At 43.1% G+C, this 23,361-nt stretch overlaps 1 protein-coding gene, 1 long non-coding RNA gene and 1 pseudogene across 13 annotated transcripts in view; 1 reads left to right on the forward strand and 2 right to left on the reverse strand.

Moving 5' to 3' along the window:
- ZFHX3-AS1 (ZFHX3 antisense RNA 1) overlaps positions 1 to 13,900 on the forward strand; it is a 156,522-nt gene extending 142,622 nt beyond the window's left edge. For all 3 annotated transcript variants that reach the window (NR_171702.1, NR_171703.1, NR_171704.1), the window contains one exon: positions 13,019 to 13,900. This is a non-coding gene — a long non-coding RNA (ZFHX3 antisense RNA 1). The remainder of the gene's footprint in view (positions 1 to 13,018) is intronic.
- The window catches only part of ZFHX3 (zinc finger homeobox 3), a 1,109,046-nt gene that overhangs the window by 24,870 nt on the left and 1,060,815 nt on the right, over positions 1 to 23,361 (reverse strand). For 8 of the 10 annotated variants that reach the window (NM_001386735.1, XM_047434166.1, NM_001164766.2 and 5 more), the window contains 3 exons: positions 22,025 to 22,105; positions 4,151 to 4,284; positions 3,823 to 4,023 (listed from right to left, as the gene is read on the reverse strand). In NM_001386735.1, coding sequence (NP_001373664.1) covers positions 3,823 to 4,023; positions 4,151 to 4,284; positions 22,025 to 22,105 — 416 coding nt within the window. The remainder of the gene's footprint in view (positions 1 to 3,822; positions 4,024 to 4,150; positions 4,285 to 22,024; positions 22,106 to 23,361) is intronic. The other 2 variants (XM_024450291.2, XM_047434168.1) reach the window with 1 other exon arrangement.
- Positions 14,181 to 14,238, reverse strand: RNU7-71P (RNA, U7 small nuclear 71 pseudogene; annotated as a pseudogene).

Genomic DNA, 23,361 nt, shown 5'->3' on the forward strand with positions numbered 1-23,361 from the left:
ACACCCCATGTCTGCCAGGAATCATCTATTTGGGGGATTTTGCAAGCTTTTCCTATTCTGCAGCCAATGGCAACTAACTCAGTCAACCCATTTGGAAAGAAAGAAGATTCACTCTTGCTGCCATTCATCCTAGCCACTCAGGGACAAAGCAGACATAACTTCCTTCTCCTGGAGCATGAATGACCGTAGAACTGGCCATTCCTTAATGATATGGTTTAGAAAATGGAGCCCTGATTAGAGGGGCATTTTTCATCATGCTGTTTTCACTTTCCTGCTCTAGTTGGCCATGAACAAACATATATCGTTAGAAAGCCTAACCAATACTTTCCCGGGGCCAATCTTCTAATAAAATGACAGTAAAATACCCTCCCGTGGCATGATTTTAACCATAGGTTCATTATAATCACTTAGTTGTGAAACAATTGCAAATTCCATTTTTACACCAAATTTTTCAGAGGAAAGACACTGGCATCTGCTTTGATTCATCAGAGCAGAGATCAAGATCATCAGTATTCCAGTCCTCAAATACGATCTCAGGTTCACCTTGTGGTAGGCCCACAAATTCCCTCTAACCCTGGTTGCTCATTTTTTTTTTCCTGCTGAACTAAAGGCCTGAGATAGAAATGCATAGTTTGGCTCAATGCAAACTATCCCCATGACTGGACAAACCAGTTCAATACTGACAGCCATGCCATAACTCCATGCAAAGAGAAAACTCATCCTTGCATATACATCTTTCAGTAAAAAGTAAAATACTTATATGATTACATTTCTCATAACTTTCAACTTTATTCCTGAATCCATTGACTTTCCCTTGTTGCTAACAAGTTGACTTCCTATTACAAGTGCATTTCCCACAATCTGCACACTTCTCAGAAATGTCTAGAAAACATCTCCATGGTCTGCTGTGGAAAGATGAGGAACATAGAGGTTTCTATACAAGGTACCAAGCCCAGCAGTGCTTTAGGGAGCAGTGTCTCCTACATAATTACATTGTCAGGGGTTCTAGAACAGTTTGTATTGACCAGTCCCATGGACATATCCTTATGCTCCCTGGCATTGTACACACAATTTTATATTTGCAAAATACTTGACGGAGGGTCAGTAACAGTGGTTATCAAACATTGGTATGCAAAGAATAATACAGTATGGCTGTTGTATAGCTTTCATGAGAGTCTCCATAAAGGTTAAGAATCACTGCTTCCAAAGGTGCTAGTTAATGGGTAACTTCCAGAAATCTCTTAGGGATTGGCACCCAAGCAAACACAGAAGTAATATCCTGCCCTTGAAGACTCTGTTGGTAAATGAAGATTCACAATGACCACCACACTTGTCACTTGAAATTTACCTTGCTATTGCTATTATGAAAATATGACAAACAATGAATATTTGAAATATAAGTTATACTCTAGTCCCTAGGGATATATAAATGAAATTTTTACTAATGTAAACCAGTCATGTAGATTACTATAGGCCCACAGTCCCTAGACTAGATTTATATTAAAATAGCAAAAATAATCACCTGAGTAAAAGAAAAATGTAGGTCAGTATTGACAATGCTTCCCTCCCCACATCTCTTTCTGTTCTTTCAGGCTCCCATGGTTCTAGGCCATCAGATGGGAAGTACAATGAGGCCTGTTACTTCCAAGGATGATGAGAAAGCTGAGGAAACCAGTAACACAGAAACCCACTGGTCCACAGAAGGAGGTTTTCACTTACAGAGAATCTTTACACACTGTTCACCAGCTGATTTGAAAATACCCACAGAAAGTTAATTTAACTTCAAAGATCTCTGAAAGGCAACTCATGGCTAGGTCACCTTTGAGCTTCCCATTGGCTGCTAAAGTTCTCTTGATGCATCATCAATTATATATTCTTCATGACTAAACATCACTTACAACGTTATTCATTAACGTTTGCAGAACCAAATGGAATAGAAAATGCCTGGAGGTGATATGTCTGTGACCTGCACATTATAACGTGCAGTTGTGAACAGACTACCTCTCTGGGAATCTTCACGTGAAAAGGCAATCAAATTAACTTATTACTCCACTGCTAAAATAATGCTAAGAAAGAGGTGAGAATAATTCTCTTTGGTGGTTTTTCCTCTAATGATCAGGAAAGGGCTTTTTTTTTTTTTTTTGAGACGGAATCTTGCTCTGTCACCCAGGCTGGAGTGCAGTGGCGCATCTCTGCTCACTGCAAGCTCTGCCTCCCGGGTTCACGCCATTATCCTGCCTCAGCCTCCTGCATAGCTGGGACTACAGGCGCCTGCCACCACGCCCGGCTAATTTTTTGTATTTTATTTTTCAGTAGAGACAGGGTTTCACCGTGTTAGCCAGGATGGTCTCGATCTCCTGACCTCGTGATCCACCCACCTTGGCCTCCCAAAGTGCTGGGATTACAGGTGTGAGACACCGTGCCCAGCCTTTTTTTTCTTTTTTCTTTTGAGATGGAGTCCTGCTGTGTCACCCAGGCTGGAGTGCAGTAGCGCAATGTCAGCTCACTGCAACCTCTGCCTCCCGGGTTCAAGTGATTCTCCTGCCTCAGCCTCCTTAGTAGCTGGGATTACAGGAACCCACCACCATGCCTGGCTAATTTTTGTATTTTTAGTAGAGACAGGGTTTCGCCATGTTGGCCAGGCTGGTCTTGAACTCCTGACCTCAGGTGTTCCACCTGCCTTGGCCTCCCAAAGTGTTGGGATTACAAGTGTGAGCCCCCACGCCTGGCCAGGAAATGACTTTCATAGCAGCACCAACATAGTCAAAAGTAGGACATCACCATCACTGGCACTATTTTGAAAAGTTTTTATATTACAATTAGATTTACATCTTTACACTAATTAGGCCATGTTTATAGTGGTCACTTAGGGGCATGCTTTCAAAATCTGCAGTTGTAGCAATATCATGTTCAAATGCAAAACCCACATTCACGAATCAGCAATATCCAGCTCACCATTTTCTTGCTTTAAAAATCAAAGTATCCACTGAGAAACTCCCTACCCTAGAGTTGGAAATTGCGGGTTCAAATCTCAACTCTGCTCCTTACAAATGGCATCAAGTCAGTTAACATCTTTGAGCCTCAGTTTCCTTATCTGCTGATGGGAATGTGTCAAAAAAATTTTTTTTTCTTTCTTTTTTTAAAGAGATAGAGTCTCCCTCTGTTAGCCAGGCTGCAGCGCAGTGGCCTAATCATAGCTCACTGCAACCTCAAACTCCTGGGCTCAAGTGATCCTCCCAATTCAGCCTCCCAAGTAGCTAGGACAACAGGTGCATGCACCACTGTGCCTTGCTAATTTTAAAGTATGTTTTGTAGAGATGGGGTCTCATTATGTTACCTAGGCTGGTCTCAAACTCCTGGCCTCAAGCAATCCCCCCACCACGGCCTCCCAAAGAACTGGGATTAGAGGTGTGAGCTAGTGTGCCTGGCTCCCTTTTACAACAAAAACAGAGTTTGTTATGAGGATGAAATGAGACATAATGAAGGTAAGAGCAATCTAGTTCATGACCTGCTCAGTAAAGGTTTGAAGAATTTGAATAATGATTTCTTCATATAAATGGTTAGCTAATCCATGCCTCTGTCCCCTGAGGGCAGAGAGGATGATAAGGGAGGTTGAGAAACACATGTTCAGCACTTTGGGCTATGGTCATGCCAAGTCTAAGGCAGGGATAGTACAACAAAGGTCACAGAACAAGGACTGTTTTCTGACGTTTCCAACTCTACACTGACTTTCTCGTCCAATAATACAGTATCTTGCCCATGTTACTGCATCACCTTTGACCCTGGAGAAAGACCACAGGGTGCTGCTCCTGGCTGCCTTACCGTCATAATGAGCTTCTCCACGCAGTCAGGTGCCACGCTGTGGAGGTGGGTGAGGTGCAGCTGGAGGTGGATCTTGTTGTTGAGCATGTCCTGGCACAGGGGGCAGCGAAGCATGGGTTGCACCGAGTGCTGCGTCATGGCATGCACCCGGAGCCGGTTGACATCGGCATTACTGTACTTGCAGTAGGGACACTGGTACATCTGTGGGGAACACACCCACTGCTTTGAGCAACTGTGTGTGCCCCAAGCCCGCCCACCCAAAAGTTTGTTCCCTACCAATGTCTAAAACACCTCACCTCCCCACCAGCAGAGTCCCTTCCAGCCTCACCTGCTCCGGTTTGATCTCCTCAGCTGTTTTTGGTCGCTTCGAAGAGAGGGGAGACTCTGAGCTACCTGGGAAGGAGATGCGTTTGGAGGTTGCAGGAGAATCTGTCAGCTCCTTCTCTGCTTGGCTGGACGATGCTAAAAGAGAAAGTAGAAGATGCAATACAGCAGCCAGACCAGGCCAGCTCCCAGAGGGTTTGTGTTGGGTGAAAATCAACATTCATTTATAGCACAGGATTTTCTTAAAACACCAAAATTCAAGAAGGATGAACATCCGGACTGATTTATCAAGCATGTTGGAAAAGAAGCAAGTGTTTCTTTCTCCCCCATGAATTTCTGTCACTACTTTAACAACTGAACATTAGGAAAAGAAGGCAAAGAAATGGAATAAAAGGCTCTGGAGTTGGATTAAGCTAAATTCAGTCTGTTCTAACCTCCCCCAATCTAGATACAATCTGCTGGCTTGTGGGGGGCAGTAGGGCTGAGGGTGGGTGGGAAAGTCTCACCAATTGCTTTGCCAGCCTCAGTACCAGACATGCTCTGCTTCAGAAATGTAAGAAGAGATGTGCTCTCAACTTTATTGTCCCTCCTCTTGGAATCACAACATGGCACAGCATTGGCAACATGAAAAATGTGATTTGAGAAAGGTTCACATGAGTATCAGCACACCAAATATGTGGGGGAAAAAAATCAAGTTTGGGTTCAGCAGTTTGCTTTTGGGGAAGAAATAATTGAGGAGTGGAACTAGGCAGGGCCTGAATCCAAGATATAATCTAGCCAGTGCTCCAGACCCAAGAGTTTATTCAGAGTGGGTGGGAATAGGGAAAGTTTCCTATCTGCTTGCCCAAACCATGCCTCCATGCCCCTCTTGCTTACACCACCAAAAAAACCAAACGCTATTTAAAGAGGAGTGGCCCATGAGGATTGAGCAGCAGACAGCACGTACGGAAGTGCTGGTGGGAGGAGTTCTCTGAAGGATGGAAAGGAAACATTTCTTTATCTTCTCTATTTTTAACCCCAATCAGTAGGCATTAGGTTAGGCTCAGGGTTTATAGTTAGGAAAAACCTGCTATCTGCTCCTCCTTCCAGTAGAGGCAAACACTTTGATAAGAAAACAGCCAGGCTAAGGGTTTATCCAGGATAAGCAAGGCTCCTCCAGCTTAAACACAGTATGGTTGGATCTGGTTGTTCCATAACCTGGTCAATATCTGAGTGTTGGCTCTTTCATTTGTTTTGAATATGGGACTCCATTTTTCAGAATTTTGTTTAAAGCAATAAGAAAAAAAAAGTAATAAAAGTGGTAGTGAGAAAATATATATACCCACTTCCCTCATGAAAAAATAATGTGACTCAGCATTCAGGTCACTGAATTAGAAAGCCCAATTTTTATTCCCTGTTAAACTGCTTTCTGTTTTACCCTGTCTAGTTATCTGGCATATATTTCCATTTATGCTTGGGTTTGAAATTTGTTCTGATGTGGACACCAAGATGCTGTCATTACTTTAATAAACAATTTTAGACAATCAATTTTATTCATTAAAATCATAAGGCCACAATATAATTTTGAAAAGAAATTTGCCAAATGCAGGAAATATATTCCAGGAAGTTGATGCTCTTCCCAGAGTGCACATCTTGTGACCTTTAACCCCAGTATCTTGGTAACCTGGTCTACATAAGTTTGTAGGACATCTATTATTTAAAAAGTACAAGGACGAGCATATTACACACAGATCCTCCTCCTCCCAACACACACATTCATAACAGTATTTTAATCTGTCTCGAATCGACTTCAAACCCATTTTGCTCTTAATGGGAGTTATTCATTTTCACTTGAAAGGTAATACATGACGGCTGGATGTTTAATGTGATGGAATGGCTGCCGATTAACTAGGTGCTGCAACATTCTAGACCAGTTCCCCCATGGCCTACTTCCCATCTCCTGGCCCCGCTCAGACCTGATCCTATGGAACGTCGCGTTGCAGGTTTGAGACCTTGCAGTGTGATGGGCCGCTCCTGAACACATCTACATTTGGAGTCCTTAATTAATGTTTCAGGAACTTAAGTTCCCTTGCCCCCAGAAACTTCCTTATTCTCCATCATTTTGATTTTTGCTTAGTGGTTATCTTCTATATATTAACTCTTCAAATGCATTCTCAAGATGGGGTGGGTGAGGGCATCAAATAATACTTCCAGTGTTTATTTGTCACAGCCATTTCTTTACCTTCTCTATTGTGAACTCCAATCAGTAGGCATTAGGTTAGGCTCAGGGTATATATAGTTAGGAAAAAGCTGCTATCTGCTCCTCTTTCCAGTAGAGGCAAACTAAGACATAGATTCTATTCCATACACCCATCCCCATCCTTTTGTTACTCTGCCTGACTAAAAACAACACCTGTTTTACAGGACTGTGACTGCCTTGTAAATGCCCTCAATCTGCCTGCCCCCTACTATGGAATGAGTCAATTGTGCACTTGCTCAATAGTGTGGATGAATGGGCACCGAGGCTGAGACCACCCGACTCATCTCACTCTCCCAGAGCTGAAAAGCAAACACAGTAACCCAGTGCAGCATTAGTTTCCTCATAGGACCAAAGAGTCCATCCTCTTCCTTGAATGCTGAACACATGATGAATTGTGGTGAGGTTGCAGAGGTGAGAATTCTGGTTTCAGAAGCCACTATTCTTTCCCCCTGCATGGAGAGGGGAACTTCTTTTTTTTTTTTTTTTCCAAACTCAAACTGCTCTGGAATTCTAAAGCTTCTTTTGTGAGCTTGAGCTAAGGACCCATTATAAAGTGTTTTAAAAAATAAAATCACCAATTGCTCACTCATTTTTCTTTCTTCCCAGTGATACAACAGCCCTGCTTTAACATGAAATGCTGCATCCACTGGTGCACAAACTTCAGGTTCATCTAGTTTCTATCTAGGACAATCTGCACCTTTATTAGATCAAATCTGTCTAGAAGTGGATATTAGCCACCTGCAGCTCACTGGCCCCTTCTCTAAAGATAAAGCAATGCCATCCTTATAACAGATTCTATAAACACCCAGTTACAATCTCATTGTGTTTGCCTGAGTGATGTGGGGATGGCTCCTAAGAGTTAACTATGGCTGACACATGCCCCTCCCTTGCTTGACCTCAGACATTAAAATGTCAGTCCCTATCAAGACATCGTACCAAAGTCGTTACACCATTTCTGTAGATGGGCAAACAGTTGTGCAAGTTCTGGCAAGGTGCAGTGGCTCACGCCTGTAATCCTAGCACTTTGGAAGGCTGAGGTGGGCAGATCGCTTGAGCCCAGGAGTTCAAGACCAGCCTAGGCAACATGGTGAAACCGCATCTCTACAAAAATTACAAAAATTAGCCAGGCGTGGTGGCAAGTGCTTATAGTCCTAGCTACTCAGGAGGCTGAGGTGGGAGTATCACCTGAGCCTGGGAGGTTGAGGCTGCGGTGAGCCATGATTGTGCCACTGCACCCCAGCCTGGGTGACAGAGTGAGACTGTCTCAAAAAAAAAAAAAAAAAGAGTTGTGCAAGTTCTCCATCAACATGCTATGCTGGATGAGGGTTTATCACAGACCACAGTCAGAGGTTCTCTCAAGTTTCTTCTCTCTGAACAGCTTCAAAAGGGCCAGAGTCTCAGAATCAATTTCTACTTCAGTTCTGTCACTAGCATACATCGTGGGCATAAGTAAATGAAGTTGTATGAATACCAAGAGAGAAAGTACTGTGGTTTCTCACTTTGAAGGCTTTTCTAAACTTAAACTCTAGAAGACATGTCACAATATACAAAACACTTTTAAAAATCAATTACTGGTCACTTTAAGCCTGCGATGATGTCACATAAGTGAAATGGAAATACATGCACTCCAGAGACAAGACATAGTTTAGACAATTGGTGTCTGGAACCTTTGGTTTACATCGGCAACAAAAAAACAAACAACTTGAAGCGTTAGTAACTCTAGTGGTTTGTACAATAATCACAAAATGATTTGGAAACAATCTAGATATCTTACAATAGGGCATGGTATAAGTAAACAATGGCATGGCCATTCTACTGAGTATTAGAAGACATTAAAACTGATTGCTATGAAGCAATATGGAAAAATCATTGAGAATGCAAATCAGAAAAGAAGATAAAATGTGTATTATCCCATGTTACAGCTATGTAAAAAGTAGGTATTAGAAAAAAAGACTAGAAGAAAATGATCATTGCCTTTAGGTGATGACATCATGGAACACTTTAAGTTTTTCACATAGTCATTTTATTTTTAATATTACAGTTATCATTTAAGTTCAACTGTCCATGAAAAAGTTGGTATTGGCTCTATACTGTGCAAAACATCAGATGGTATTTTTTACTTTGCTGGTAAAAGCAAGTTCTCTCATTTTGGCAGTTATAAAATATGAAAATATGTGTTAAATCTCAGTGAATCTTCCATAGGCAACATGTTGGGCTCCTGGGATTTCAAAGGGGATAAAAATGTGGTAAGGAATCATGCGACTGAATGCGCTATAGATGACAAACTCTATAAAGCTAGGTAAATGGGATATTGTGACAACGAAATGCTGGGTCAAACTCCTACTCAAACTTAACAGGACGTGAGCTATGGATTCCATGCCACACAGACTTTCCAGGGAGTGAGAAAGCACTTGCTCTGCTTGTTAGTGTTATGGTGGCCCTACCCAACGCGTGCTGATGAGGCACAGGAAAGACTAGCATGTCCCTGTTATGGAGTTCAGAAAATTCAAAAGTCAGCTCTCTGGGCCAACAGCCACCACTTCTCCTCATTCTGTGATGAGTTGGCCAACTAAAACTCACAAAGACAAATACTGAGAGAAACAAACCTGTTCATGATTGTCTATTTTATCCTCTTAGGCTCCTCTGCATTCTAGGCAAAAGAATTTCATTTCAAAGGGAAGCACAGTTGTCAATACATGGCTCCCTTAGGGGGAAAATCATTTATGCATGGAGACACCAACTTCCAGATATCCTTTGATTTTATCATATTTGTTTTAGAAGTATTAAACCTCTAAAAATAATTACTTTAAAAGTTACCCCTCTACTCATGTTAGTTAGAGGGAATAGGGAAGAGAGCTGATAAGCATTCATGCAAAGTTTTGTTTGGAATTTGCAAGAAATGGTTTTATTACGTTGTAAGCATATAGAATAATGAAAATATGGCTAGCAAAACTTTGTGTAGGAAGTGACTTACTTTAAGGAACAGTATCACTTAGAAAACTTGTCAAGTGGACAAAGATGGTAGAAGCACAGCCTTTCAACATTCACAGTCCCTTATAACTTCATCTGATAAAACCATTCTTGCTAGAACAAATTCTCATGTGATCCCAATCTTTGCTAACAAATTCGACATCCGAATCACTGAAATTCTGGCCACAGAAAACTTAAGAGTTGTGCTTGCAATCCCAGTGGACTTAATGCCAACACAGGCTTCATTTCTCATCTAGTAACTCTGTACAACTCTGAAGCCAAGTAAGGCGTGGAGTTGCTGCTTCATCAAAGATAAGCCTGAAGAAAAACTGGAAATGAAGTAAAACATGGAACCTTAAGGTCCCTCATTTTCAAGATATCCACTTGCCCTCCAAGAAAACCAACATACTGGTAGAATTAGTTTCTGTGTTTCCTAAGCAAAATTCATCTTCTCATCACTAAACACACCAGTGCGCTGTTGGCATGGCTGCATCCTACGATGCAGACCATTCTCCCTCTGGCCAGAGGCCTCCCTCCCTTGGGGAGATCCTGGGCAGGCATTAAGCTGTCCACGTTACTGGGAAGTTTCTTTTGCATCTCTTCATGGTGGAGTGACTCCTGGAGGTGGTAATCACCGAAGTGCTGATCCTCTTCCTTTTTGGCGTCCTGAGGTGAGCCCACTGAGGGTCTGGGATGCTGCCTGACACTTGAACCTTGTGGGGAATCCAAAGGCAGCCACCACCCCCACCTCTCAACCATCAGACTCTTAGCTAAAAAGTACCACTGACAGCCCCTCCATCTAAATTTCCATCTCCCAAACCAGCAACATAATGGAGGAGCCAATTAAATGATTATTAATTCATGCTACTTTCCGTAAGCCAGAGGTTCTCATCGCCTTACATTCCGTAAACCAGCTTGCCACCTGCCCCAGAAATTTACAGCAATCTTTTCTCTATCTCCGTTGACTAGCGAAAAAAGAAATTCACATAGCTCCATACTTAATGTCTGAGTTGGGATAACTATTCCAACACACAAGACACAGATGTATCACCAGATCTGAAAATGGTCCTTCAGCTCATAATTATAATTAAATGGAAGGTGAAATGTGTGTTTCCCATAGCTCCTCTCTCTCAGCTTCTCATACCTCATGCTCCCACTAGACAGCAGAAATGCAATGTTTCCAGAGGGTCATCTGTGCTTTTGGATTTTGTGATCTGACTTTCATTGAAAGTAGAGTTACTCTTGGCATTTGCTTGCAATTCCTTCCCCAGAGGACAGGCTGGGCTTTCTTACTTGAATCTCCTGTGGAGCTACTGCACTTGATAAGTGGCCAAAGATCTAGCTAAATTTTCTTCCTCCCCCCAATAGAGAGAACAACAGTTCCTTTAAAGAATCTGCTTTCCTGCCAACTTGGTCTTTAAACATGCATGGTCTCATTCTGCCTCCAACCAAGCACTTAGAGATGTTTCCAAGAGGAATAGGGGAAGAGGGGAAGGGGATTTGTGTGAAGCAGATGCACGCACATGTTCACTCAGCAGGGGGCGGTCTTCAGGCCACAGCTAAAAAGAAACTGAGGCTTCTCTCTTCCCTAATCAAAGAAGCAGAATCTGTCTCAACATCCAGCCTGGTGAAGTTAAGAACCTTCTATTCAAAACACAGTCTTATTCTAAGGAAATGCAAGCTATCTCGCTCCCGTATATCCCTAGAAAACACCTACCCCTAAAAGTAGAATATGCTTACAAAGGTATGGCAAGACACAGAGGTTCTATCAACTTCACAGGCCTTTTGTTTCTAAAAAGGGTTTCAAAGAAAATTTGATTTATACTACACATAGGTATAAGAGTTACTCAGGGAAAGGCTATTTTTCTTCTCCAACTTAAATATGAACAAAATAGGTCAGCACTTTAAAAATCCAGCAGCTCTTAGTTGTTATTATTACGATTTTACTTTTTGTTTGGAAATAATTATAGCTTCACAGGAAGTCTCAAGAACAGCATAGAGAGGACCCATGTACACTTCACCCAGGTGTTACTTATTAAGCAGTTTAGATAAAGATTTCCAGGTCTTCCATCACTCTTCATCGTGACCCTGCCTCTCCGGCTCCCTCCCTCCCTCCCTCTCCCCCACCCCCAATCTTGCTTACATCTACCAAGACTTAGGGCCCTATGCCTGTCATACACCTTCCCTGTCCTTTAGGAAAGCTCCATGCCTCCCTAACCCAGCAAGGGCTCAGGACTTACTGTCTAGTTAAGAAGTCGATCTCAAAACCTCACGCTTGTCACTGAGATCGCAGCCTTGAGGTTCAGCAAATGCCAGAATGTGTCAGACTCCCGGGCAGGGCTCATTAAAACACAGATCACAGCCCCTGCCCTAAGGTTCTGATTCAGTAGGTCTGAGTCAGATAATGTACATTTCCAGTAAGTTCCCAAGTAATGCTGATGGTCCAGGGACGACACTTTGAGAACAGTGGTCAGAGCCAAGGCTTTGTGTAATAGGTAGGAACCACGCTGCTTTGTGGTCTAACTAGAAATAAATGAGAGGGCCCAGCAAGCATGGGCCAATCTGTCAGTCCACTTTAAATGGCTCTGATGACATGATACTCTCATCTAAACTCAGGGATGACAGCCAGGTTTGGTCTCATAGCCTAGATGTTTTAAAACACCCTCAGGCCACCTGCTTACTCTAAAACAAATGCAGACACCTTCAAAACCAGAAATTCAGAAGGAATAAGCTCCATGTGTTCTGTTAGCGTAATCCAGAATAAGGACAGACTTCCTTGTTTACAGAAATCTCTTTCTTTCCACATGTCCTGTCCTGGAGAGCCTCTGTGAAAAGAGGGCAAATACCTGTGGGCTCCTTCCACCTTGCAGAAAGAGGAAGCGTCTTTTTAGTGCTGGCTTCCCTCGGTCAGGCACCTGCAGGCCTCAGCAGCTGAAGGCCCTCTTTGCTTCAGCCCTGGAAGCATGCACAGATCTATGCTAGCCCCCATTTGCACAAGTCAGCAATCTGGGAATGGGGGTTCAGGCACCATTCTGTGGGGCCTCTGCTTTCTCTGCAGGAAGCAGCCTCTCTGGCAGGCTCTGGAAGCCTCAAGGTGGGATGGTGGGCACACGCTGACCGGTGGGTGCTGCTGCTTGCTCTGCGTATTTTGGGAGAAAAATAGTGCTAAGCCCTACATCAGAGACATCAATCTGTTGCACTAATTCCTTGCTGAAGTATGCATAAGGCTGCTTAACCACACTGATTTGAGTTCCCAAAAGGCCATTCCACATTTCAATTTCAAGACACCTTGCTCCCTCTGTGTCAGGTTTGCAAATGAACCACCAGTCAAAACAGAGCCACCACCTGGTTTAGACCAACATCAGCTGTTGGTCTGTTTAATAAATTATAGGCACTGGACTGCCACCGTGAGCCCGGCTCATGCCAGGATTTGGAGGCCTGCTAAATATTCCTGATTTTGATTTTGACCTGATTCCTGACTTTGAGGTACTGAGTCAACCTGCCTGTCTTTGGCCTCTTGTTGGTTCCCCCAAAATATGCTGTCTTCCCCTGGCATAGCTTACTGCAGCTATGGCCATGGTATCTTGTGAGGATGGGTGGCCACAGTCCAGGGACACACTAGGGGGTCTGCACTTATTACGCTTCCCTGTGGCTTTATTACAGGACTGTGAAGACAACCAGAGTGGGAAGGAACCTCAGAAACCTTTGGACCAACAGAGGAAAAAGCCCAGAGGTGCAGGACATAGATCAAAACCAGTCGCATGCGAGTCATTCTAGGATCCGGCCAAAGTTAATTAACAGAGGGCCATTCAGTCTCCACCGAGTCAAACAATAATTAGGTTAGTTAGGGTCTTTGAGCCCCAACACAGTCTAGACTCTGAGACACTGCAATATAACAATATTCTTCTGGTTTCTTCTCCATTCCAAATCTATCTTCCTAAAATACTAAATTTTAAGAGTGAAAGTGAACTTGTGAACATAAACAGGTAAAATGTGGGTGTGTGTCCAGAATGGTGACAGACAGGGAGAACTGCTGAATATAACTTATCAGAACCTTACAAACTGGCCTTCCCTCATGATCCACCTAGGGTTTCTTTTTACTAGTCAGGTTCCACAGGAAAATGTGAGAACTTATACTTAGGGAAGAAAGACATTACTCAGGTCCCTGCAAGGCTGGAAAATGGGAATGATTCTCCACTTTCCCCTCCAGATTTAAGCACTACAAAGACTGTCAACATCTCTTGGCATTTTGTACAGTACAGAGAGATAGACACCCTACATTGTGTAATGTTTATATTTAATATCAGTGCTGCTTTCCGTCTCCATTGAGTTCCCACATTCAGCTCACTCACAGCGCTCCAAAGGCCTAGGATAAGTGACCTGTGTGAAGACATGGGGAGGCGGTTCTGGAGCACCTTCAGGTACTCCTCAGGAACTGATGTTTTTTCACTTGTTGTTTGCCTAAGGCCAAGTTCTCTTTACCCGAAGGCATCATTCAGCCCCCCTTGCTAGGTAATAAAGCACAATATTTTGTAGCGCTGGTCACAGTTGGTTCACATCCTGGCTGTGTGACCTCGAGCATCCTATCTGACTACACTGAGCTTTCTGTTTCCTCATCTGTCAATGGGATAACACTGTCTACACATGGTTTCTGTGCCGCTAGCCAGAGATCAGGCATATGATGCCTACCACAGAGTCTGGCACATAGTGAAAGCGCAAACATTTGTTGCTATGGTTTCTTTTTTAGAAGGATTGGGAAATAATACTGCTGGGGCTATAAAACCATAGAACGAGGGGAGAAACTTGTTTATTTTTTTGTTTTTATGGGCTTTCCAATGAAGAGCGGAAAGCCTGCTAGACAAATTCTAAAAGCTGTAACACTGAAACTTGGTTTTTAAGACAAGCAAAGACACCTTAAATTTGTCTTTTCTCTATACCAGGATGAAACAATCCTATTAACCCATGGATTTAATGTCTACAAAGCAGAAAGTAGAATAACTTGGACTTAAAGGTACTTATGTCATGCTATTTTACCAATTGATTGTTAACGAAACATCTAAACAGTATTAAGCACTTGCTAGGTGCTGGGGATTACAAAAATCAATGGTTGCCACATAGCTCCTAACCATAAACAGCTGACAAACTCTATCTGACAACAAGAGAAGCATAGAATTTAAGTTCTCCTCCTCCAACCTTCCTAAAAGTAGAGAAAGTGATAATGTTACATGTTCTTTGGCTTTATAATGTAGAAAATATATCTGACTCAGAAGGCAAATTGGGATTTGACTGCAACTCTGACACCCGAGTTCCCAATCTGTGAGGCTTAGTTCTCGAGGCTGCAAAACGAAGGTAGCATTGGACCCAAGAAGAATATGAGAACCTAATGAACGTGCTCTAATATCCCCCATGGAAAGGCACAATGGTATTTTTTTTAAATAATCATGATTATAATAACAGAGGTACTTTACAATTGGCACAAAAGTTAAAGCTGGAACAAAGCAGGCAAGATTAACATGGCCACTCTGTAAGAATAATATGCAAATCTATAAGGTATTTTCTATAGTGATGAACAATGATTTGCTCCTTAATCTACATTTTCACTGCCCTTTATCTATACCTTGATGATAGTTCTCATTATACTGTGTCATAATTGTGATTACATATGACAACACTTCTAGAAAGTGAGTTTTTTTTTTTTTTTTTTTTTGCATGTCCTGTACCTGCCTTAGATATGTGTGCAAGAAAATATTTGTTCAACTGATGTGGTCCCTATCTCTCTTATGACTTACAACATAAATTCTCAAAGCCAAGACCTTTGAATTAACTGGAATTTGGGCAAGTCCAGATATACACCACAGCCTGTATCTATTTTGGCTTCCCAACATAAAAATAGTTCATGATTTGTTTTCAATTGTGAGACAGAATTCCGCCTGCAGTGACTTTAAGCAGCCAAGTATACTGAAAGTGGCCTGGAAAAAAAAGAGTGGGGAGTGAGAGAAGGGGGCACAAGCTGACTCTGGAAAAGGTGACACAGTCACACAATTCCAATCTACGTGTGAAAACATAAAACCAAAAATGGTTTCCATTGGCAGGACCATGAACCACAAAGGGGCCACGCAAAATGGGCTCCCAGTATTCCCTCACATGCATCCTACTGCAAAGACAAATTTACTTTTGGGTGAGGTGGAGAAATGAAACCAAGTACCAGAAAGATACAGAGTTAGGCCAAAATGATTTTTGTAGAGGTATGGTGGTGGTGTTGAATGGCCTGGTTTCTAGTCAACAACAGGGTTGGGATATGAGTGGCCACTCAAAGGCACCCATGTGAGTCTCCAAGGACTCCTCTGTTGATGTCCTCATCACACTGCCTCTGACAACACAGTGTGTCTGTCCCAAGAACACAGAACTAGGTAAGGGCATATGGTGCTCAGACATTCCATCAAGAAAAGTAGCCTTGGTGCTGCCTGACCTCCATTGAGAAAGCCTTGAGCCTTTTATCCAGGGTATATTAACTAGCCACAGACAAGAGAAATCTGGGAAAGTTATTAGCATTCCAACTTTAGTAATTAATATGCTCCAAGATTCTATAATGCTCTACAACTGTCCCTACCCCAGTCATAATTTATGAAGCTCCAGAATTGTTAATAACCCATTTGGTCCAACCTGCCACTTTACAGATTTGGAAACTGAGGTCCAGAGACCTCAGGTCACGCAGGTGAACTTAGTGGCGGAATTAGGCCTTGAACCCAGGGCTTCTGACTCCTACGAGTCCTGTATTTTTCCTAACACGTTTCCTCTCAGCACATACCTTCTTTTGTCCTTAGAGACTCAATTTGGAAAAACGAAAAAAAAAGTATTTTTTCAGCCCCTTTCCATTCTTTGTCACAGATTATATTTCAGGCACTAAGTTCCCCATACAAAGGCATCTCTATTTATACAAAGCTGTAAACAACAGGGAAAACAGGGGGAGGGCTGGTAATAGATTTGCACCAGGATGTGCCTGACCTGCTTTTTTTCAACCTCAGTAATTAGAAAGGCAGCAGGTCTGTAGGAATTATTCATATGCAGCAGGAGCCATACGCTATACATTTATGTTAAACATGTCAAATCCGATTGGAATCATGCCTGCCAGCACCATATTCCATAAACGTACTTTTCCCTAACAGTCACCCAGACCTTGCCAGCCCATTAATACTTCCTTTAATAGCAATCTTCTATAGATTCAAATCAGGGACGCTCCACTGCACTAATTGCTGTGTTAGGTGAGCATCATAGATTTAAAAAAATTAATAAAGTAAAATCCCTTCAGGCCAATCCTTTAGAAAAATGAAAACACTCAAACTACCATTCTAACTCAAAAATTTACAAAAATATGAACGTCAGGGATTTTTGAAGCATTATTGTGGTGTCATTTCAAGTTGAGCTATTTCCCTGCTTCCCCTCCAACCCGCATTTTTCAAAAGCACCAATACCCTCTGGTCATCTCGTCCCAAATTACCTTAACTAGACTCAGCCTGGTACTCTGTGGCTGGAAACCATGACGACTACAGGAATTAAATAACCATCTTGCTATGATTCTTTGCCAAGAGTTCAATTTTTCCCCTAATTATTGGTGATAAAGCATCACATTAATTGTATATCACTTAACTTATTGCAAATAATGATTAATTGGATAATCACTGCATTAATCATTGCTCAGTTGCTGACACGGGGGGCTCTTCATTCGAGAATACACACATTCAAATCTATTCTGGTAAAAGAGAACAAGGGTCATTTTCATGTTTCAAAAGAGAAAACCACAAAGTTGGACAGTGGCAATGGCTGTGCATTAGGGAAGAGAACAAAGAACCTTCCTGTACCCTTCACTGGCCCACAGGAGTACATCACACTTTCCTTGACAAGATGTGCCCGCAAGGGCCTGTTCATGTGCTACCACTCACCCTCTTGGAACTCTCAGGCGGTTGGGACTAGTGGATATCCCCTGTCCATGTTTCACAGAGGAGGTACCTGAGCCGAAAGAGGCCAAGTGCCTCAATCAAGGTCATCTGCTGGCTGGTGGGCTTCCTGACTCCAAATCTAGAGTCTTTCCACATCACCATCCCGCTTTCAGACTGAGCACAACGCCAGCTCCTTACAAGACATATATCCATGGTTGATAATCCAGTTCATTTTGAACATCCTGGTGGTTATCGTGTTACTATGATCACTGTACAATGTCAGGAGACTGCTACTCCTTATACTTAGACATAGATGAAAACTAGATCTAATGATCAAACTGAAAATGATCCTTCTCTGAGAGATGGTATATTGGTAAGAGCTTGGGCTCTGTCCTAAGTTAGAATAAGTGCAAAAGCCAGTGTGTAAATCTGAACCTGTCTGTATACCTTTTGGCGATGTGCTAGAGATTCTTACCTTCCTTTTTTTCACATCATGGCACACACAGAAAATGATGGCAAATTGGGATAAACAGATGAAGCAGGACCTGTGTACCTGTGAGCAATTCATGGCATGCCTGCTGGGAAGGACAGGTGTGAAGCTCTAGAATGGTGCCTGGCACAGGGTTAGAGCTTTATGCAGCCGTTATAATTACCAGAAAGTTGCTGTACCTATGATGCATTCTTTCAGGGTTAGTTTTGTTCCTTTGGGGTATCTATAGCTGCACATGTGGCTACTTAAATCTAAATTCATTAAAATTAAATACAATTTAAAGTTCAATTCCTCAGTGGTACCAGCCACACTTTGCAGGCTCAATAGCCATATGTGGTAAATGACTATGGTATTGTTCAGTTCAGATGCAGAACATTTCTATCCATACCAAAAGTTCCATTCGACAGCACTGATCTATAGTAATATCGGTCTTACGACTACGGGCGTTCCTGAAATCCCCAGAAGAATGTTAGATTCCCTGAAGGCAGGCCCTATAATCTCACTGAATTTGTGATCAGTGGAACTCTGCCCAGTGCCTCGCATGGGGTAGGGACTCAGCCATTGATCGTGGAATTGACCCAACCTCAGTTCAGATCACTATCTTGCTTGCTGTGCTGCCACCCAGGGTAAAAGACCTGACATCTGAATAAAAGAATCCCAAAGAGGAACCCCCAAAAAGGAAACCAGGAGGCCCACTCCAAATGTAGAAATAAATAGCTGAAAGTGTTCAGTACAGAGTACCCATTCCTGCACAAACCCCAAAACTACAAAATCAGTAGCTGAGAAAATGCCAATTATCCAGGCCCATCTGAAATATTATTAATCTGCATCATGAACAGCCACTAATCAACATAACAGATTGTGAAATCACTATTTATTTACTTGCCAGGAGGAAGCATTCCCCGTCACATGTAATCAGATAGGAACAGCTCAATTTAGGGAGAGAATAGAACAAACGTAGTTTTAAAAATATATATAAAATAATAAGGATCCAGAAGAAAGCTCAGAGGAGGTTGCTGGCACCTGTATCGATTCCAAGATCAAATCGGCCCAAGTACCTTAATAAAGCCTGTCATTACACACTCAGATACTATAGACAAAATTATGCTTCGGATCAAAAGAGGATCATTTGCAGGAGTCGGGAAAGAATTTTCCCTTCTCTCTTTACTATTGTGCAGCTGGCAAGGTGCATCTCTGAGTTATTCATTCAATCACTCATTCATTCATTTTCTCTCTGTCTTTTGGAAGTAAAGATTAAGTAGGCCTGGTGCTTGAATGAATGCATGAGAAAGTGGAACCTTATTAAGGACATTCATTTTTTATGGTGCTCATTTTACGTCTTTTAGTAGTCTCCTGATTGCCTAGCATGTCCACTAGTGCTGTGAAGACACACTCCCAATGAATCAGAAACACTCTGAGTAAGATTTAATTGAACTGCTCTCAACAAAGGCTGCCCTAAACTGGTTGGAAGGATTAGAGAGGCACATATAGAGTGGCTAGCATAAGGCAGCACATAGAGTAGGGACTTTGCAAGTGGTGGCTCCTGTTTATTATTTCCGTAGTGCCCTTAGCACACAAAATGCACGAAACATACGCACCAAACATCATTCGCACGATCCCATTAAATGCTTGTATGTTGCTTCTCCCTCAGCTCAAAATTCCCAGGAGCCACATGCTGCCTTGCAACAGAGGACCCAAAGAGAAACTGCTACCAGTTTTCCTCATCTTATATATCACTAAACCATTAAACAAACAAACAACTTACATAGAGCTTACAACATGCCAAGCACTGTTCGGAGCTTCCCATAGTCAAATAATCCTCGTAGCAATCCTACAGAAATAGGTACTATTTTTAATCTTCATCTCATCTGAGGAAAATGAGGCACAGAAAGGTCAAGGTACCTTGAGTGGGGTCACACAGCTAATGAGTGGCAGAGCCAGGATTAGAAATCAAGCACCCAAATCGTGACAACAAAGGACAGATGGCTCAGAAGGTCACCCAGTCTTCAAACTGTGTTTGTGAAATCCTTTTCCCCAGCTCACCTGGCGATCTGTTTAATTGCCGTGTGAACCATTTGTTTAGCTCTCATTCAACGTTGAGGCAAAACTGGGATCTTGGTCCAGGCAAAGCCCCACAGGAGGATACGTCCCCCACTACATTCAGGGCCTTCCTTTGAGCACAGATGTCCATCCTCCACTCCTCGGTCCTACCTTACACATCGCCTAGGGTGTTTGACCCTCATTGTTTTCTGGAGTTTAGGCTTCTGGACACCACACAGGCCAGTCTGAAGGGGAATGCTAAGCACAGTGGACAGTAGAATCCACCTGGTGTGCTGCCCATTCATTCGGCTGCAGTATGGCCCTCTCTGTGTCTCCCAGGAAACACTGAACAGTGGTACATCACCCGCCCTGCGTATCTCTCCCGATATCTGGGAACTATTGTACTACCTCTCTAATTTCTCTTTTCTAGGCTGAATGACCCATTTCTTCAGCCTCCTCTCAAAGGCAATATTTCTCAGCCCTTCAGTCATTTTCATTGCTCTCTTCTGGCCTCTCTCCAAGATTCTGTATCTTGTTTAAATAGTGAAGTCCAACACCGAACATGATTTAAGAACAGTCATGCCTGGAAAAGTAACAAAGGCCCAACGAATACGGACTCCAGAAAGTAAACATTTTCTCAAAAACAAAAGTATTGTAATATTAATAATGGTAGTAAGAATTAGGTTGACCAAATAAAATCATTTTTGTTGCCCGTCACATCATTTCCTCTTATTATTTTCTAGAAGGCTTAACTGTCCCCTAAGTCTTCTCTGAAATGACTTTGCTCCTCCTCAAAAACCCTAAGCTTTTTTAGTCTCAGCTCTTCTTCCCCTCAACATAGAAAGCTTATCATCTTGAGAAATGGCCGTTCTCCTTCTCTCAACACCAGTTTTTCCAGAAATAGCACTTCCTGTCTTGGCTTCTTCAATGTCTTCTGCTTTGGGTAAGATGTCCCCCTGCCTGGCTGCACTGCTTGTCTCCCCTTTGGGTGGATTTCAGCACATGAGTGCTCACCCTGGGGGAGGGGGAGGACAGGAAGAATATGCAGGGCAGGCACCACCTGTGCAGGGCCCTGCCCAGGCCCCCAAATGCAGGACAAAGACCACCCTTCACTGCTGACTCCCTTAGTAATTTTTTATTTTTATTTTATTTTTATTTTTTGGTCACCCAGGCTGGAGTGTTATGGCATGATCTTAGCTCACTGCAGCTTCGACCTCCCTGGCTCAAGCATTCCTCCCACCTCAGTCCCCCAAGCAGCTGGTACTACCAGCGTGCACCACAATGCCTAATTTTTTGTAGAGACAGTGTCTCACCACGTTGCCCAGGCTGGTCTCGAACTCCTGAGCTTAAGCAATCTGCCGACCTCAGCCTCCCAAAGTGCTGGGATTACAGGCGTGAGCCATTACTCTCAGCTGGGAATCTTTTTTTTTTTTCCCCGAGATAGAGTCTCACTCTGTCGCGCAGGCTGGAGTGCAGTGGCTGGCATGATTAGGGCTCACTGCAGCCTCAACCTCCAGTTGAGGGTTCAAGTGGTTCTCCCACCTCAGCCCCCCGAGTAACTGGGACTACAGGTGTGTGCCACCACACCCAGCATTTTTTTTTTTTTTTTGAATTTTAGTAGAGACAGGGACTCGCTATGTTGCCCAGGCAGGTCTTGAATTCCTGGGCTCAAGTGATCCTCCCACCTCAGCCTCCCAAAGTATTGAGATTACATGAGCCACTGTGCCTGACCCTTAGAGAATCTTGAGGCTAAGAATCAGGGGTGACCCTGATCAAGTTCCACATGACAAATCTCTCCACTGGCCTTGGGAGCAGGTGGGACCAGCGACTGGACCTTCAATAGAGGAAGAATGACATCAAGGGCATTTTGGTGAAGAGCCACCAAAGAGATGTGACCAACACCCAGATGCCCTTGCACACAGCTTGGCACTTACCTGGATACTCAATAAGCAAGCTGGCTTTGGTGCCACTTAAAAAGCTTAACCATTAAAAACTACAGTATAATGTAGTATAATAAAGAAGAATAAAGGTGACTGCTCAAAGAAGCAAACGAAATCTCCCTCCCACTCATCCTTTTTCTGGGCAGACTAAGGATGTATCCGCTCCCTGACTTGTTAGCTCCATTCTTCCAGGGAAGGAAAGATGAGAAGGCTCAAGGACAGCCACACACACTACCTGTCCACTTGCCCTGGTCTTTCTCACCTCCGCCCTCTTGGTCCTTAGCAAGCTCCTCTGGATCAGCAGCTGTTTCACTGGGTCCTTCAACATCTTCAATGGCTTCTTCTGAAACAGAAGAAAAACATGTCAAGGGTTAAAAATAAAAAGAAGATGAAGGACTTTTGGCCTCTGTTGCAAACAACTGCCAACGACAGAACAGACACCAATGACTCGTCCCCCTTCTCTTTCCAGAGGCCCCTGGGAGACTGACGGTGCTAAGGATATACTGAGGTCTGGGTAAGCAGTGGGGACTTTCCTTCTGGGTAAACAGTTGGTATGAGGTTGTGACTCGCTCCAGATGTGTGGCCATTAGGTATTTCCAGATAGATTCTGAATGCTTCGCTTGAGTAGTTCTAACTGAAAAACCAATCCTGGTTGAAGCAGTAACTCCACCTGAATCCCTGAAGTTGCATGCAAGTCTTTTACACTTGAAAATGCAAAACATGGCCACCTGTTCACTTCATGCCTAGCTCCATTCCCAAAGCCTCCTGGTACTGGCCTAGACCAGCCCCAGTCACTGACCCCTCACAGGGCTCACAGTGCCTATGCATGTGCCAGAGTGTGTGGGAATTGTTGGAAGTCATGCAGGTTGCGAAGAGTCACAGAATATCAGTGATATGAGTTCATCAGTTTGAAGAGTTCCAGAAACCAAATGGTATCTTGTGAACATGCCAGGAGGCAGTGGTGGGAAGTGAGATTTGTAGAGTAAGGGATAAAAATTTGTAACAGAGTCGTACACTTTCTTTTTGAAGCAATTCCATCCTTCACTCACTACGGGTTTAAAACTAATGCAGGAAACCTCTCTCCAGTTCAGTACACAGTGCTACAGTGAAGGCAGAATGACGGCTGCCAACGCTAGGCTGCTTATGAAGTCAAATGTCGTTCAGCCAAGTGGGGAAGAAGAGAATAAGATACTCTAGATGCTGAGGGAAAGAAGGGGAGACACTTCTCTCTTGCTTTCCTGGCCCTCCGAAACATTATCCAAAACATGCATTCAGTAAGAGTGGGCTAAGGGAATGAATAAAGTGGACAAACCAAGGTGAAATAATTTTAATAAAGATGAAATTATTAGGAGGCTGTGAAGAGCACATTTTCTCAGGTACACAGGCGTGAGGGCAAGGATGCCCACATCTGTCAGCAGACCAGACCCCAGCAAGGAAGTACTGGGTCTGGCTTAGAACACTGGATCAGGCCTCTATCCAGCACCGCCAGAGGTCTGTCCAACCCCAATTCAACTTTTCAGTATTTTAAAGTATCATGCCTTCTGACCCTCTAGAAAACAGCCTCTACCCCAATGCTACTTTTCCATTTTTCTAAATGTC

This window comes from Homo sapiens, chromosome 16 (assembly GCF_000001405.40).
Source record: "Homo sapiens chromosome 16, GRCh38.p14 Primary Assembly".
In the NCBI taxonomy this organism is placed as follows: domain Eukaryota; kingdom Metazoa; phylum Chordata; class Mammalia; order Primates; family Hominidae; genus Homo; species Homo sapiens.